Source organism: Homo sapiens, chromosome 12 (genome assembly GCF_000001405.40).
Source record: "Homo sapiens chromosome 12, GRCh38.p14 Primary Assembly".
Classification (NCBI taxonomy): Eukaryota; Metazoa; Chordata; class Mammalia; order Primates; family Hominidae; genus Homo; species Homo sapiens.
This window is the reverse complement of record NC_000012.12, coordinates 57,603,483-57,617,327: the sequence shown is the minus strand read 5'-3', so window position 1 is coordinate 57,617,327 and position 13,845 is coordinate 57,603,483. Positions and strand designations below refer to the sequence as shown.

General features: G+C 56.4%; 2 protein-coding genes across 19 annotated transcripts, besides 3 other annotated features; both read right to left on the bottom strand.

Annotated features, from left to right (window-relative positions):
• ARHGEF25 (Rho guanine nucleotide exchange factor 25) lies at positions 83-7,212 on the bottom strand. 4 transcript variants are annotated; one of them, NR_046223.2, is made up of 16 exons: positions 5,337-5,893; positions 4,432-4,572; positions 4,184-4,287; positions 3,969-4,064; positions 3,812-3,888; positions 3,568-3,634; positions 3,209-3,312; positions 2,928-2,997; positions 2,723-2,812; positions 2,547-2,639; positions 2,311-2,361; positions 2,014-2,091; positions 1,616-1,816; positions 1,311-1,491; positions 833-1,044; positions 83-544 (listed from the first exon to the last, which is right to left on the bottom strand). NR_046223.2 is itself a non-coding variant. In NM_001111270.3 (16 exons), exons 1-16 carry the CDS (start codon positions 7,109-7,111, stop codon positions 434-436), a joined length of 1,860 nt encoding a protein of 619 aa, NP_001104740.2. In that variant the 5' UTR covers positions 7,112-7,212; the 3' UTR covers positions 83-433. The 4 variants fall into 4 exon arrangements, 3 of the variants coding, with proteins under 3 accessions (NP_001104740.2, NP_891992.3, NP_001334862.2); NM_001111270.3 differs by lacking the exons at positions 4,432-4,572; positions 5,337-5,893 and adding exons at positions 6,644-6,758; positions 7,013-7,212 and having other exon boundaries at positions 4,184-4,398; NM_182947.4 differs by lacking the exon at positions 4,432-4,572 and having other exon boundaries at positions 4,184-4,398.
• Positions 5,481-6,000: a silencer, noted in NCBI's record as "silent region_4586". NCBI's record gives its function as "represses an Ori minimal core promoter by ATAC-STARR-seq in GM12878 lymphoblastoid cells {active_cell/tissue: GM12878}" and the evidence as "EXISTENCE:reporter gene assay evidence [ECO:0000049][PMID:35858748]".
• Positions 7,526-12,504, bottom strand: DTX3 (deltex E3 ubiquitin ligase 3). Of its 15 annotated transcripts, none has more exons than XM_024448876.2 (7): positions 12,470-12,504; positions 11,597-11,984; positions 11,076-11,138; positions 10,810-10,885; positions 9,715-10,463; positions 8,591-8,808; positions 7,526-8,251 (listed from the first exon to the last, which is right to left on the bottom strand). In XM_024448876.2, coding segments are annotated over exons 4-7 (1,044 nt in total). In that variant the 5' UTR covers positions 10,811-10,885; positions 11,076-11,138; positions 11,597-11,984; positions 12,470-12,504; the 3' UTR covers positions 7,526-8,175. The 15 variants fall into 15 exon arrangements, with proteins under 15 accessions (XP_024304644.1, XP_005268754.1, NP_848597.1 ...); XM_005268697.2 differs by having other exon boundaries at positions 9,715-10,444; NM_178502.4 differs by having other exon boundaries at positions 11,597-11,757.
• Positions 12,110-12,622: an enhancer, noted in NCBI's record as "H3K27ac-H3K4me1 hESC enhancer chr12:57998489-57999001 (GRCh37/hg19 assembly coordinates)". NCBI's record gives its function as "activates a minimal SCP1, AML or CMV promoter by ChIP-STARR-seq in primed H9 embryonic stem cells {active_cell/tissue: H9 hESC(primed)}" and the evidence as "EXISTENCE:reporter gene assay evidence [ECO:0000049][PMID:30033119]".
• Positions 12,623-13,134: an enhancer, noted in NCBI's record as "H3K27ac-H3K4me1 hESC enhancer chr12:57997977-57998488 (GRCh37/hg19 assembly coordinates)". NCBI's record gives its function as "activates a minimal SCP1, AML or CMV promoter by ChIP-STARR-seq in primed H9 embryonic stem cells {active_cell/tissue: H9 hESC(primed)}" and the evidence as "EXISTENCE:reporter gene assay evidence [ECO:0000049][PMID:30033119]".

Below are 13,845 nucleotides of genomic sequence, written 5' to 3'. Positions count from 1 at the left end.
GGCCAACCGATCTCTTCCATATCACTTCACCCCACCTACCCCCACTACAGCCTCCCCTTCCCTCTGCCAAGACAGCAGCCTCGGTGATATAACAAAACCTTTATTCTCAGAAAACAGGAAAAACAAAATTAAAAAACAAAACCAATAATTTCTATCTGGCCCCTGCCCCAGCCCTCCCACCCACCCACATATCCTCCTTTTGGGGGGACCATGATGCATGCATAGGGATGGGAGCTGAAGGAAACTGTGTTCCTTGGGCAGAAAAAAGTCCTTGGGTCTAGGTGTTCTCCTCCAAGTTGATATCCCTCCCAGCCTTGCCCACCCTCCAGACACACCAAGAAGGAGGAATTCTGGAGCAGTGCCAGAAGGACTGCCCTGAAGCTCCTTGGGGAATAGGCGGCTGAGTCAGCACCACCCCCATGGTTTTCACCAGTTACAGCTCATCTTCATCCAGCTTGGCAAGTCTGGCTTGGCAGGGAGGGGTTTTTGGAGTTGGAGAGACTGGAGGAGAGTCATGGGGAGCCTGGGGGATGTCACCAAGGGCCTGAAGAAAAGATTCAAGTCAGAGGATCAAAAAGGCCAGAAATCTACCCTCACTTCTCTCTTTTCAGTTTAAGTCCCTAGCCAAGCCACCTCCTCTTGCTAGATATCTTAGACTGTCTGAGACTATCAGCTTCTCCAGAGTTAAAATAGAGGGGAGAAGCGTAAGGGATGGGAAGTAGGAAGGACCAGATAAAAGGAAGGAATGATATGGGGAGGGAACTTGGGGTCCCAGAACAAGAGAGGCTCTCCCCTTTTTATCCCTACAATGAGGGAGCTCTATTCGTCATACCTGTTTATCCAGTGGCAAGAGGGCTCTGGCCACCTCCCCTTTGGGTGACAGCAGCAGAGAGGGGAGAGAGCCATTGATGGGTGTGTGTGTGCTGCCCTGGGCCTGATCTCCAAGCTGAATTCTTCCAGGGCTCCCCACTCCAGGCCCTCTTGGCCGCCCCAGGCTGTTGGTCTGGCTCTCCCGTCTCTGGTACTCAATGGGTGACTGCAATGCTGGAGCAAAGAGAGGAACAGAAGGAGGGTTACCGCAGAGACAGGTCTGCTCCCTAGGGCCTGTATCATTCTCCCACTTTGCCCTCCCTCCCTGTCAGCCAATGTCAATTGCTTAGGGCTTTAGGGGATTCTATCAAATTTTGAGCTAGCAGTGGAAAAGGGGATGGGCCATGGTCAGAGGGTAGGTACTGGAGACTGGGCAGTGAGGGATTCAGGAGGTTAAGGGGCTGAGAGAGCACATCGGGAAGAAAGGATGAGAGCTTCACCGTTGAGGAAGTCCCGTTGGCTCTCCAAGATCTGAGCCACATGCTTGATCCAGGCCTGACTGATAGCAGGGTCTGCAGCCTGCAGGACATAGCGCTGGATCCCACCCTCTGGCCCTCTGGAGGTCAGTGCAAAGCGGCAAGGGTCACCTTGGAGGTTCCCCTCCAGTCCCAGGCAGCTCACCTGAATTGGCAGATAGGAGACAGCCCCCAGATTCCTCAGGCCCTCCCTGGCTCCTCTGAGACATCCTCTCAGAGGCCTCATGCCCTCTCTCTCTCCAAGCCCTCCCTCGTGGCCTTCTCCCCACCTTAATGCTGTTCTTGTATACATATCCAGGCTGTGTTCCACCTCTCACTCCTCCTCCCAGGGCTTCACTGAAGATGATGATTTGCTCAAAGAGGAAGACGCGCCTCTCTCGACCTCGGGAAGACAGCAGCCCTCCAGCCTCAGGCTCGGTGACCCAGAAAGTGTCCTGGCCCAAGAGCTTCCCCTGAGCAGTCAGTTTGCCCTGAAACCAAAAGGATAGTGGCCTTGGAAAAAGAACAAGAAAAAGGACAATTCTCTGCTCCTCCCTTCCTCGCCTGACATGCCCAACCAACCATGGGGTCAGCCCCAGGAGAAGACAACTCCCCATAAGGACCTCCTGAATGCTAGGGCTGGGGCAGAAGAGCATCGGGCCTCCAGTTTCTTGCCCTATCTCCGTACCTCAAATCCCCGCAATCTCCCCAGCGTCATCATATCGTTGCAGCGCTTGGGCACAAAGCACATGACCTCCACAGCTTGCTGGGACACAGGTGAGGGAGGCGCATTGTTGGGCGAAGAGAGTCATTATTGGGAAAGAGGCCTCCTCGGCCAGTTGCCTCTTCAGACGGTATCTCAACCCCAACCAGCCTCCCCCTAAAAACCAGACAGCTGTAAACCACCCAAGGGGCTGGGGGAACCCATGAGATACTAGGAGGATAAGGAGCACATGGTGTGTCCTGGAAGATCTGGGGTCCTCACCTCTAGGTCTGCAGTATCCATCCCAGCTCTATTGTAATACTTGAGAAAATCCTAAGACAGAGAGAAGAAATGCTCAGGGAGGTCACGAGGACACCCTTAGAAGCTCTCACATCCTCCCCTGAGGACACCAGTGAGGGCCCTCAGGAAGTCTGGGGGAGCCCTAAGAACCCTGGGGAGATGAATGAGGAAACAGCTGTGCCAGCCAGCTGTGCCCCCAGGAAAAAGGGGGTCCTGACCTTGAGCAGCAGCTGGTATTTCATGATCCGCTGCACAGGTTTGATGAGGAGGTCGTTCAGCTGCAGGCGGTGCCCCAGCTGCTGCCGGAGCTCCTGGGGACAGGGACAGGGTGGTTATGCAGCCTGGAAAGCCCCAGTTCTGTCCTCCTTCCCACCAAGACATCTCAGCTACTGACCTCAAAGTAGCTGTCCCCAAACTCTGACACCACATGCTCTGACTTGGGCTTATTCTGACAGTACACCACATACATATGCAGCCGGCGCTCCTAACAGGGGTAATGTTTAAGAGAGAGCAGGGTGGGCAAGGAGGGAGGACGCATCTCCAGAGAATCCCAGCCCATTCCTAAGCCCCGCCCCAGGCCCTGCCCCCTCAAGCCTCACGTGTTTGATGAATAGCTGAGCCAGCCAATCAGGATCTTTCAGACACCGTTGTAGCTCTTGCAAGAAATAGCTGGAGGGGTTGGTAGAGAAGCAGCAGGTCAAATACATTTCACAACCCCCACCTCGCCCACTCCCAGCAGTTTCGAGCTGTCTGCCCTGGTAGTGTGCCCTACAAAACTTCTCCAAACATTCCTTAAGTCGCAATGGGCTGATGTTAGGATACAGGACAACCAGATGAGGGCCCCTCTCCAGCACCTAGCTGTCAGAGTTCCACCACTCACTCTCGGTGCCACTCATAGATTTGCTGGATATTCCCAAACACAATCCTGTCACGGCCTCGAAGACTCTCGGGGACCCCCTGAGCAGCCATGGTGGCCATATAACCCTGTGGGAAAGTTGAGGTTGGGTCATGAGCATGTGGTGGCCCTCTCCCCACCTTAATGGTGCTCCTGTACACAAATCCAGGGTGTGTTCCACCTCCCCCTCCCTGGTGGGAGCCGCCCTGCCCCCAGAGTAGGAAGGTCCAGGAGTGGGGAGGCTTGAGAGGTGGGACAGAGGAGCGCCCAGGCACCTCCTGAAAATAGCCCTGGGCAGATGGAAAAGCAGGCAGGAGGGGCTGGGAAGGGGTAAAGGGAGCTACCTCCACAATCTGCCCCAAGTCGTCCACGTACATTTTCTCTGTTTCTACCAGTTCACTCAGGACATACCTAGGATGAAAGCAGGAGGAGGCCCCCACTTCAGCGTCGGAGCTCATCCTTGGTTCAGCCCGTTCCTCCCTCCTCCCCTTTATCATCATAGCCAACCTTGGAGGAAATTCCATCTAAAATGTGAGGGACAGTCTTCTGGAAGTTGTGCAACTGCAGGGAAGGGCTGTGGACACTTACATACTCCTTTCCAGAGCCTTCTTCTTCTGTTCCTCCTCACTCTCAGGGGCTTGGGACAAAGTCTCCTCTTCAGGTGGCTGGAAGGAAAGAACATCCTAGGGTGAGCAAACGAATGCCCCTTGAGTGAAAGGAGCCTCCCCAGAGCCTGTCCTCACACCTGCGTCTTATCTCCAGGGCCCTCCAACAGTGTGGTCAGCAAGGTCAGTTCCGGCAGCTCCTCTCCTGTGGCTAGAGCTGGCTCCAACATCCAGTTCTGGGGGCCAGAAATCAAGTGTCAGAGGTCGGGGACAGTAGCTGGGTGGCCCCAACTTGCCCTCTCTGCCAGTGTCCTTCATAGATGTCCCACATGCTTTGGTGCCGTTCCCTGCTCACCTCATATGGTCCTGCCTGACCACTGTCTGCCTCAGTTTCCACACTGAGACAATGTTTGGAATGATCCAACCATCTCCTCAGGCCACTGACGGGCCCTGGGGGGCCTGGGGAACAGGGGCCAGAGCTGAGGCCAGAGCTGGGGCCAGAGGGGGCAGCCAGACCGGAGGCAGCAGAAGCCGATATACTCCCCTCACTGCCCGCAATGGAATAGGATTCTAATGGGAGGAAAAAGAGAGGAGGTGATAGACCTTGCCCCAGCTCCAGACTCAGGGTCCCCAGGGAACTCCCAGGGTCTTCTCTTCATGATGCTCAGCCTCTCTCTCCAAGGGCTCACTCTCTTGCCATCCTCATTTGAGTTGGCCAGGATAGAAAATTTCACCAGGGCACCCCTGGGAGAAAGCACAGTAAGGTAAACGCCTGGCTCTCCAGGCCTGGAACCCCCAGTTACATGTGGAGGTTCCCCATATCCTGAGCATAGCATAGATATGGGGGTGGGGGCAGCCATCTGGGCAGACATTGGAAGCTGGGGGTGGCCATCTGCTCTCCTACAACCCTCCCTCTTTCAATGGGTACAGACCATTCTCTGGGAAGAGGGGAGGATGAGCTGGGTCCATCTGCCACTCCCAGTCCCCTCCTCCACCAATTGCAGTAATCACTATAAAAAGAAAAGACTTCTGCAGCCCACCTCCCCAACACATGCGTAGACCCAATAGAGGAGGCCAGTGAGGAGGGTCCATCAGGGTTATCGTTGGCCTGTGCTCAGCGACAGAGAGCTGTGATTCCTTATAAAGCCCCTTGTAGAACCACCTCATTCTCATTCCTCCATTCTCCTGTCCCTCTTCAGAAGTAGATTCTTAGCAAAAGGTTTGAGGAAAATAATCGGTTCTAGGCCTAAGGGGATTGTGGGTGGGTTTTTCTCAAACCCATTTGACAAAGGGAAAGAGATGAGTTCCCTGCCCCTTCCCCTATTTCCTTAACTTGAACTAACAGAAATTTGGAGGCAGAAGGGACCTTAGGGATCACTTAAGAAACCACTTTCCTGGAAAACACATACAGTCTCCAACCCTAAATCCCAAGGGCCAGGGCAAACAGATGCCCTGAACCCCCAGCCCGCCCCCCACTCAACACTGGACCCTCTCGACCTGGCACTCACCACGTCCCCCCCGGGCGAAGCAGCAGCCGCATTTTGCCAGCACTTTTCGGATCACACGGGGACAGGCACAGCGACCCCCTTTGTGCCCCCCCCGCATGGCGCCCGGGCCCCCCCGCGCCCCCCACCCGGGCCGGCCATGCAGGGGGAATCACGGGGGGCGGGGCGGGGACGGCGCCGGGCGCACACCCCCCCTCCCTCCTACCCCGGTCCAGGCTGTGGGAGGGGGGGAGGGAGGGGACCGGGAGGAGGTGTCCAGGGGTAGGCGGAAGTCTAGTCTTGAGGAGGGCTGGGGGCTCTAGAGAGAGAGAGGCGCGGGGCCCGGCCGCCGGGCTGGGCGGGGAGGGTTTCCGGAACCCTGTCGGTGCGGGGGCCTAGGGTCCAGATGTCCAGTGGAAGGGGGAGGGATGGTAGGGGAGGCTGGGCCGGGATGCGGCAGCCGCTCCAGCTGTCTCCGGCCTCTGGTTAGGGGTGGCTCTAGGCCCGGGCCGGGGAGGAGGCGAGGGCCGACCCCCGAGCCACTGGCGCTGTGCGGGTCCCAGCGGAGCGGAGAGCTGAATAACAGGCCTGGCCGCGGGGCCGCCACGAGGCGGGGCCTCTGCGGCCCAGCTCCGCCCTCTCCATCGCGTTCCCCCTCCTGCCTGCGCCGGGTTCCCGCCCCGATCGCCCCTCCCCCAGACACCACCACGTTCCCACTCCACGTCCCCAGCGCTTTTTCCCCTCCCCAGCCCGTGCTCCCCTGCCCCGGGGTCCCCCTCCCTCTCGCATCCCGGGCTCTGCGGAGCGCTGGGGTCGGGGTTCAGCCTGTCTGCAGGGTCTGCCCAGGTCTCCCCTTGGCCTCTGCGATGAAGGAGGACTCAGTGGATGGGGCCTTGGCCTGTGCGAAGATGTTCTGGGTTTGGGGCTGTCCCCGGCCGAGTGGACAGAGGCCCCCTGGTACGGGGTGCGTGTATGGGGAGTCTTTTGTGGGTGAACACAACCCAGATGCCGCCCTCTCTCAGGACCCTTCTTTCCTCCAGGCCCCGGGACTCCAGCTAAGACTAATCGCCAATTAAGGCGAAGTCCTGGAGCCCGGGCTGGCGAGGGGCCAGGGGTGGGGCGCGGGGACACTCTGCCTGCGAGGGCTCGGGATCGACTGGGATGGGGGACACACATTGGACTCGAAGGCAAGAAGAGTGGAGGTCTCTGCGATTAAATGGGTCTCATGCAAATTAGATGCGAACTTTATGCTAATAAGAATAGAATATTTTTGAATTCGCCACTTGGCGCAGGATAGCAAACTGTGCCCCACCCCACCCCCAGCTTCTTACCGGGCTGCAGAGCCCCGGCGAGGACCTCATGTTCGCGATCCCTTCTGTGATCTCCCTCCGTACGTTCAGACTCTGGCTCGGTACCCACCAACCCTAGAGGGCTTCTCCTTGGGGGCTGCGGGGACAGAACCACTGTAAGGAACCTGCCCTCCTAGGCAGCCCTGACCTCCCCCTTCCCCTTCTCCTACCTGTCAAAACCCACATTGTTATAAAAGGCTCGCCCAGAACGGGGCTATGGCCCTCGTAATAGAATTCATGTATTCCTGCGACTGCCCCGCAGAACTCGTTTTCGGATAAGTTGAGTTGTGGGTGCAGCCCTCCTGAAGGCCCCGAAAGACCCCCGACCCCACCGCGAGCCCCCATTCTTACCCCCTCCTGCCCAGGGAGGGCGCATGCGCGCAGCATGCCCCCCATGACCCCCAGTATCCGGTCAGTGCGGCCAGGGGCGGGGCGGTCCGGGGGCTTCATACTGAACCCCCACCCTGCTCCAAGTTTCAGGGTCGAGGGGGCACTGAAGCTGGGGGGCTTTGAGGCCTGCGCGCGTCCGGGGAGTTGCTGCTGCGGAATCCGCCCCCTGCCCGGCTCCGCCCCCACTCCCACCCCAGCCAAACTTCGCAGAGTGGCTAGGGTTGTTTTCTCTACAACCATAGTTGAACAACAAAAAAACACCCTCTTAATACTAATTCCAACATCGAAGTGACCCAGGGTTTCTCAGTGTTACTACAGAGCCCGCTGGTGCATCCCGTTTCCCCAGGTCCTCAGGAGGCAGAGGGACTGGGAGTGCACGCAGGGATCACCCCATCATCCCCTCTCCCCTTTCCAGCAGGTCCCTCTCCCCACCCCACCCCCACCCAGTCCCTGGAAAAGAACGGGTGTGGCATAAAGAGTTGCATATTTTACTTTATTTTTATTAAATTAAAAGCTACAGTCTGGCAGCGATTCCAGAACAGGGTAAGGAGGTTCCTCACAGGGGTCAGAGAAGAGCGGAGAAAGACAGACTGACGGAGACTGAGACACAGGAGAGAAAGGACAAGGTTAAGGGAGAACTGTATCTGATGAACACACACAGCCGGCTCCATGGCGGGTGACGGGGAGCTCACATCAGCCCAATTTCTCCTCCCCGGCACCCGAAGTTCAGCGGTGGAGCAGTATGTGGGGGCGGTTAGGAATCAAGAGACCCTCCCTTCCCCACCCTAGGTCCTTTCTCGGCTTGGTCGTGGAGCACAGCACATACCAGAAAAAGCCAAGGGCAATGGAGGGGCAGGGAAACCGGGAGTATATGTACACGGGGAGGGGAGAACAGAGCCTTGGAGGTCGGCCTCTGCCAGAAGGGAGTGGCTCACACTGCATTGAAACACTTGGCCAGTGGGGGATGGGGGAAGGGATTGCCCCCTCCCTCTCGGAACTCCCTTCCCAGTCAGACAGGTCCCCTACAGGTGTGGTGTGGGGGGCAGGGGGCAGAGAGGAGAAAGAGGCTTCTGCTGGGTCCTAGTAGAGGCAGACAGCAGGGGCCTTGGCAAAGGCGATGTCCTTCAGTCATCTGTGATACCCTTCGCTCTCAGCTCCTCTTGCACCCGGGTCAGGTAGGTGGGGTCTGGGTACCCAAACCTGGGAGCAAAGAGAAATGAGGGTGAGGGTTGTTAGCTGTTTGAACTTGCTATTATCCCCATGCTCACCCTCATTCTAGGTGGCTCAGACACCTCCCCACCTCCCCTAAGGGAGGACACCTCCAAATCCAAGATAATTTAGCCCAGTTCTGCTTATTTTTGTAGGCTAAGCTGGGCACACCAGGACCAGGTTGAATGTAGGAGAAACTGAGATGGCTGAACAGTTTGGAAGTGGTTCTCTCCAGTTAGGAGGCTCCGTGAGCGAGGGGTTGGTGGGTCCCTCAGTGGAAATGGAACAAAGGGGAGGAGCCAAGGGAAAGGAAATGAAGAGGGGTCGCACAGCTGGGGTCCCCCTGTGCAGCTGGTCTTGTGGTGGATGTCGTTCCAGGTGATGACATTCGGTCTCCCTGTGGTCATGGACGTGCCGATAGTGAAGGTGAGACGCTGGTCAAACGCCTTGCGGAACAGGGTCAGCACCTTGTTGCCCTCAGGGCAGTCCGGGAGGTAGGCCACCCGTGTGGTGCCAGGATACCGAACTCCTGGGTTTGGGTGTTCAGCCTGGGAGGAAGGTGAAGCAGAGTGGGCAGTGAGCAGCCAGGCATCCTAAGGCCCAGATGCCAGAGGAGGGTCATCCAGGCTAGTCTCTGTCTGAGCACCCCCAGCTAATGCGAACGGGGCAGCAACAGGCTGACAGCTTTCCACAGAAGGAGAGATTATACGGCCTCGGCAGCAAGAGCCTGTTTCAGAGCATAATCCTTATGTGTTAAGAGATTTTTTCTGCTGTCTCAATCCCTCAAGTCTCCATTCAGCAACAAATGGATTCTCAGAAGTGATGGAAGTTAGCTGGTCCCTACACTCCAGACAACTCAGCAAAAATGTGAAGACAGAATAATCTATCTTTCAGCCTTCCCTTCACCTGAAAATACTCCTAATGTTTCTGCCACTGTCTAACTTGTTCCATTTTCCATCACTCTTCTGTGCAGCTTCTTCACCCCTCTGCAGCCAGAATTGCACATTACTCTTTGTCCAGCAGGAAGACACCTATAGGCCTTGACTACTCCTGTTTTTACAGAGTGATGCTCCTGGCTCTGTTGGGTTGGTCAGATCCCTTCCTATTGTGCCTCCCTTCCCCTAAGCCACCACCTCCACAGAATTTACCTCTGCCAAGATGTCAGCACAGTATTTGTGTTCATCAAGGAAATAATATGCAATTCCTTCCTCTCATATCTGATTTGCTTTTTTTTTTCCTAGCTCATATCTGATTTTCACGTGTGCCTTGGGATCACAGGGATGGAAAGGCTGGGCCTCACGGGGACCTCCTAGGTCCAGGGCACTGAGTAGGAGGGCACAGTGGAAGACAGCAAGACTGTCTCACATCTAACAAGCACACTCACCCTCACCCGGTTTTCCTAGGTCAGAGCTTGGGGAAAGCCAAAGGGTAAGGGCAGGCCATGGTCTTCTTACCCCCTGGACACCGGGCGGGAAGACGTACTGGATGACAATGGTGCCGTACTTCTCATAGCTGGGCAGTAGGAGGGTGGCGTCCTTAGAGACCAGCATCCGCCCATTCTGGGGCTGGTTGCCCACCAGCTGCCCATAGAAGCGGCCGCACATGGGGCAGGCCTTTTTCACCTGCAGAGCCCGGGTGATGCAGCCCTCGCAGAATGAATGCCGGCACTTCTCCAATGTCTTGGCATTCTGGATCTCCCCCAGACAGATGGGGCAGGTGCTCTCCTGCTCTTCTGCCTCCTCCCGAAGGCGAGGAGGAAGAGGTGGGGGCAGGGGGGGAGGAGGAGGGGGGAGCCCCCGAGCTCCTGGGGGCAGAAGTGGGGCTGCTCGGAGAGGGGGTGGGCCTGCGCGGTGCATCTCAGGGTGCTCCCCTCCACCCCCCAGAGCCAGGCAGCCCATCAGCTCCCCCTGCCTCTGAGCTTTCTTCAGCTCTTTCTCTGCCTCTTTTAGCAGCCCCTTGAGAGCCTTCCGGGCTAGGTAGAGCCCATTTGGAGGGGCCGGGGGAGGACCCTGTGGGGAAAGCTGGAGAACATAGATGTCAGAAGTCTCGCCATCTATGAGGATGGACACACGGTGCTCCTCCCGAAGCCGGGCCAGCCGGGCTGGGGTCTCTTTGCTCAGGAAGTCCCACACGGGCTTGGACACAGTCACTTTGTTCTTGCAGGTGCCTCCACAGGCTGCCATTCTGGACAGGACGAACGACACTGCCCCCAGGGTGAAAGGGACTCAGGGTGGGGGGTCCCCATTTGACAAGTATCAGTGCCTCCTACTTCAGGTTCCTTCCAAACCCTCTATTACCTCTGTTTTCTCAAAGCCTAATCCCCAACCCTTCACCCAAATTCATATTCTGTCTCCCCTTATCTTCCAAACCCAAAACCCACTGAAGAGCAAAAAAGTTTCCAGAGCTATATTATCATCTAAGCCAAGTATCAGTCTTGTTTCTCCTGTCATTTCTCCCAGATCATAGAAACAACTTGCCCCTCCCACCTCTTGGGGAAAAATGGGCTGTTTAAAGGGGAGGGAGACTCTTTGCCCCTCCTTTTTGCTTACTTTGATCCTGAAGAGCTTAGAATTGGCATGCAGGCTCACTCTTCTTTCCCTGCTCCCTACTTGTAGGTCGTGTGACCTGGTAGGGCGGAAAAATGGAAGGAAAGTGAGAAACCCCTTCTCCCAATTCCCATGGCCCCCAACCCAGCAGCCCATGGAACAGAGACAGAAACCTGGGTATAGGTTACTAAGAATGGCATTACTTGGAACATGGAATGAAGGAAACCAGTTTAAGGGTGAAAATTGAGGATCCCTTGCGGGGGAGATACCTGGAAAGCCCATGGAAGATGATGGCAGCAGAAATCCTTCTATTTCCACTCAGCTGACCAGGACTGGGAGTGGGGGAAGGGTAAAAAGTTATGATGGCAAATGTTACCATTCCCCTCAGCCAACCCAGAAATAAAAACTCCCCTTCCATCTCCTCTCTTCTCTGCAGAATTCCATTATCAGCTTCTCCCCAAGTTGCTCAAGAAGGAACTTCAACATGCTAACCTTCCTCCTTTCTTCCCCAGCTCTGAGGCCCCCAAGAAAGCCTAGGGCACACATAAGAGAAGTCAGGAAAGAAAACGCCCACACAGGTGGAGGTCTTCTTGCCACCTCCCTCAGATCACATGGACCGGAATATTTCCTATGCTCCCCAACTCCTCGCCTGCTCCACATTGCCAAATAATTCAGCCCCTATTGCCAGGGAGCCTTCCTTGAGAGCTAACTCAGTCCCTTCTGCTGAAGTCTGTTAAGGATGTGAACAAAGTGGCAGCAGCCCCTGCAATAACAAAGTTCTCATTGTCACCTTTTAAACCCAGCACAGGCAGTGCTGTCTGTCAGCTCCCAAGTCTGGCATTTAGGGAGGGGCGGGGCTCACACAAGGGCTCAGCTGGAGGGGCCTGATGTTTTCCCTGAGTCTGGTCGCATTGGGCTACGGGGCTGTCTCCACAACACTTCCAAATGCAGCTCAAACAGAAAGAAGGGCCATTAGTGTGACCTCCATTTATTGACTGATCCAAGAAGGAGCAGCTGTCCCTTCATGCCTCCATCATCGTCCCCCAAGGCCAGATGCACCTCGAGATTCATAAGTGAAAATGGAACCCTAGAGTCTCAGCCCATACAGTCTATCCGCGATGCAACACTTCTCTCCCCATCACGGGGGACCCAGGACCTAGGTGTCCTAGGTCCAAGTCCTGCTGGCACAGAAAAGGGAGGCGGGGCCCCAGTTTAGGGTGGGTCTGTGATTCCTCTGTGGCAACCCAGGCCGGACAAGGAACCAGTCTCTCCCTCCAGACAGAGGCCAGAGGGAGGCACAGCCCGGATGGGCAAGGGTCCCTGGGGGCATCCACTGAAGCAGCTCCCGCCCTCCCCCCACGGCCTCCTCCAAGACCCGACCCGGAACCAACTCCCCACATCCCTCAGTAGCCAAAGCCCCCGGATCCCCACCGCCGGGTGGGGGTGCATGTCGGCCCGATCGCAGCCCTCAGAACCCCCGAATGGAGGCCAAGGCTGGAGGGTGCTAGAAAGATGATCGGCCGGGCACGGAGCGGGGAGCCCGGAGCCGCGCGCGGGGAGGGGAGGTGGAGGAGGGGGCGCCGGGGGAGCGGGGGGCGCGTGAGGGGTGCGAGCGGGGCCCGGGGGGCGCGCGGTGGGTGTGGGGGGCGCCGGGCTCACCTACCTCTCGTCAGCGCCGCCATTGCCGGTCACATGACTGAGGCTGTTGCTGGGATGACGGTCCGGGCCTTAGCAACAAGGAGGGGGAGACCCCGAAAGGTGGGGGATTGCAGGGGGTGCAGGCTGAGGAAAAGGGAAGGAGGGAGGACAGCACCCCCTTTCCCCTCACAGGTGATAATCACCGTTCCTTTGACCCCCTTCTATCCGCAAGCCCCTGCCCTTCCTCCCCAAAACAAAAATGGAGGCGCTGTCCCAGTCTTTGGAGGGAGGGGGTGGCGTCATGGAACTGAGGGTAGGAGGTTAAATCCCTGGAGACGCCACCCTACTCGCTCCCCGCTCCCGGCGGAGCACTCTCCCTTTTCTTTCCCAGCCAGCTGCGTAGCAGCTCCCAGGAGCTGGTGGTGGATGGGTGGGTGAAGTGTTGGTGGGTATATGGGGATTCGGGGGGAGGGCGGCAATTTTTTGAATCCTTATGGTAGAAGGGCCTTTGAGGAACAATGTGGGATGGGAAGAGTCATAGTAAAAAGAAAAGCATTGGCTCTAAAAAATAAACAAATCCGGGTACTAAACTATTTCAATCCCCTCCCTCATCTCCTGCCTCTTTCTAGATTGTTACCTCCTATGACCCCCACAACCTGCTCTCAGATGATCATTGGTCAGTGCCTCTGATTTTTCTTTCCACAAACAGGGATATGGAGGCTGGTGCAGAATGGGAAGCGAATACATTTTTTAAAAAGTGGCTCGAGGTGGTGGTGGTGTCAAGTGTATGGTTCAAATAGAGTTAAAAACTCTCAAAGAAGAAAAAAAAAAAGCTCTGCTCTGCTTCCCACATCAAGCAGTCTCCGCCCAATCCAACTCACTTCCCTGGGGCCACATCAAGCCAGGTTTTTCCACCAGCCAAAAGACTTCCTCAGCCAAGACAGGCAGGAATCTCCCAAACTGGCAACAACCTCTATTCATCCACCCCTTTTTCACTCCCCCCTCTAGACTGGAGGGCTAGTCACTTTCTTCACTTTCCCAGGACCCTGCTGTACTCTTCCTTCCCTCCAGGAAGAGGACAGCTTTCCCAGGAAGCCTGGGGGAATACTAGATTCCTTTTCTTTTAGCTGGTGGGCTGAGAGGCCTACTCACCTTTACAAAGATGGAGTGTTAGCAAGCCCAGAACTCTGGGAAGAGGAAGGGTCCCATCACCCTACTCTTCCCTGGCCCTCACTACCGCTGACCTCCCACAAGGTTAAAGACTAAGTTTTCCATTCCCGTGCACACCCTTCACAGCCTTTTTAAAAAAGTTCACAGCCATCTGTCTAGAAACCCACATCCTTAGTTAGGGGCCCAACACCTTGAACACCAGAATTCTTCAGCTGGTCTCTGCACCCTTAA

What these genes read in the sequence shown, in the direction of transcription:
- ARHGEF25 (NM_001111270.3), bottom strand. Translation starts at nt 7,111, where the DNA reads ATGAAGCCCCCGGACCGCCCCGCCCCTGGCCGCACTGACCGGATACTG. An exon ending in TTGGGGACAGCTACTTTGAG is followed by an intron (nt 2,640 to 2,722) that starts GTCAGTAGCTGA and finishes CCCTGTCCCCAG; the next exon opens with GAGCTCCGGCAGCAGCTGGG. An exon ending in CCAACGGGACTTCCTCAACG is followed by an intron (nt 1,045 to 1,310) that starts GTGAAGCTCTCA and finishes TCTTTGCTCCAG; the next exon opens with CATTGCAGTCACCCATTGAG.
- DTX3 (XM_047428480.1), bottom strand. Translation starts at nt 10,838, where the DNA reads ATGCCAATTCTAAGCTCTTCAGGATCAAA. An exon ending in TCCCGCCCGGTGTCCAGGGG is followed by an intron (nt 8,809 to 9,714) that starts GTAAGAAGACCA and finishes CCTTCCTCCCAG; the next exon opens with GCTGAACACCCAAACCCAGG. An exon ending in TGCACAGGGGGACCCCAGCT is followed by an intron (nt 8,252 to 8,590) that starts GTGCGACCCCTC and finishes CTTTGCTCCCAG; the next exon opens with GTTTGGGTACCCAGACCCCA.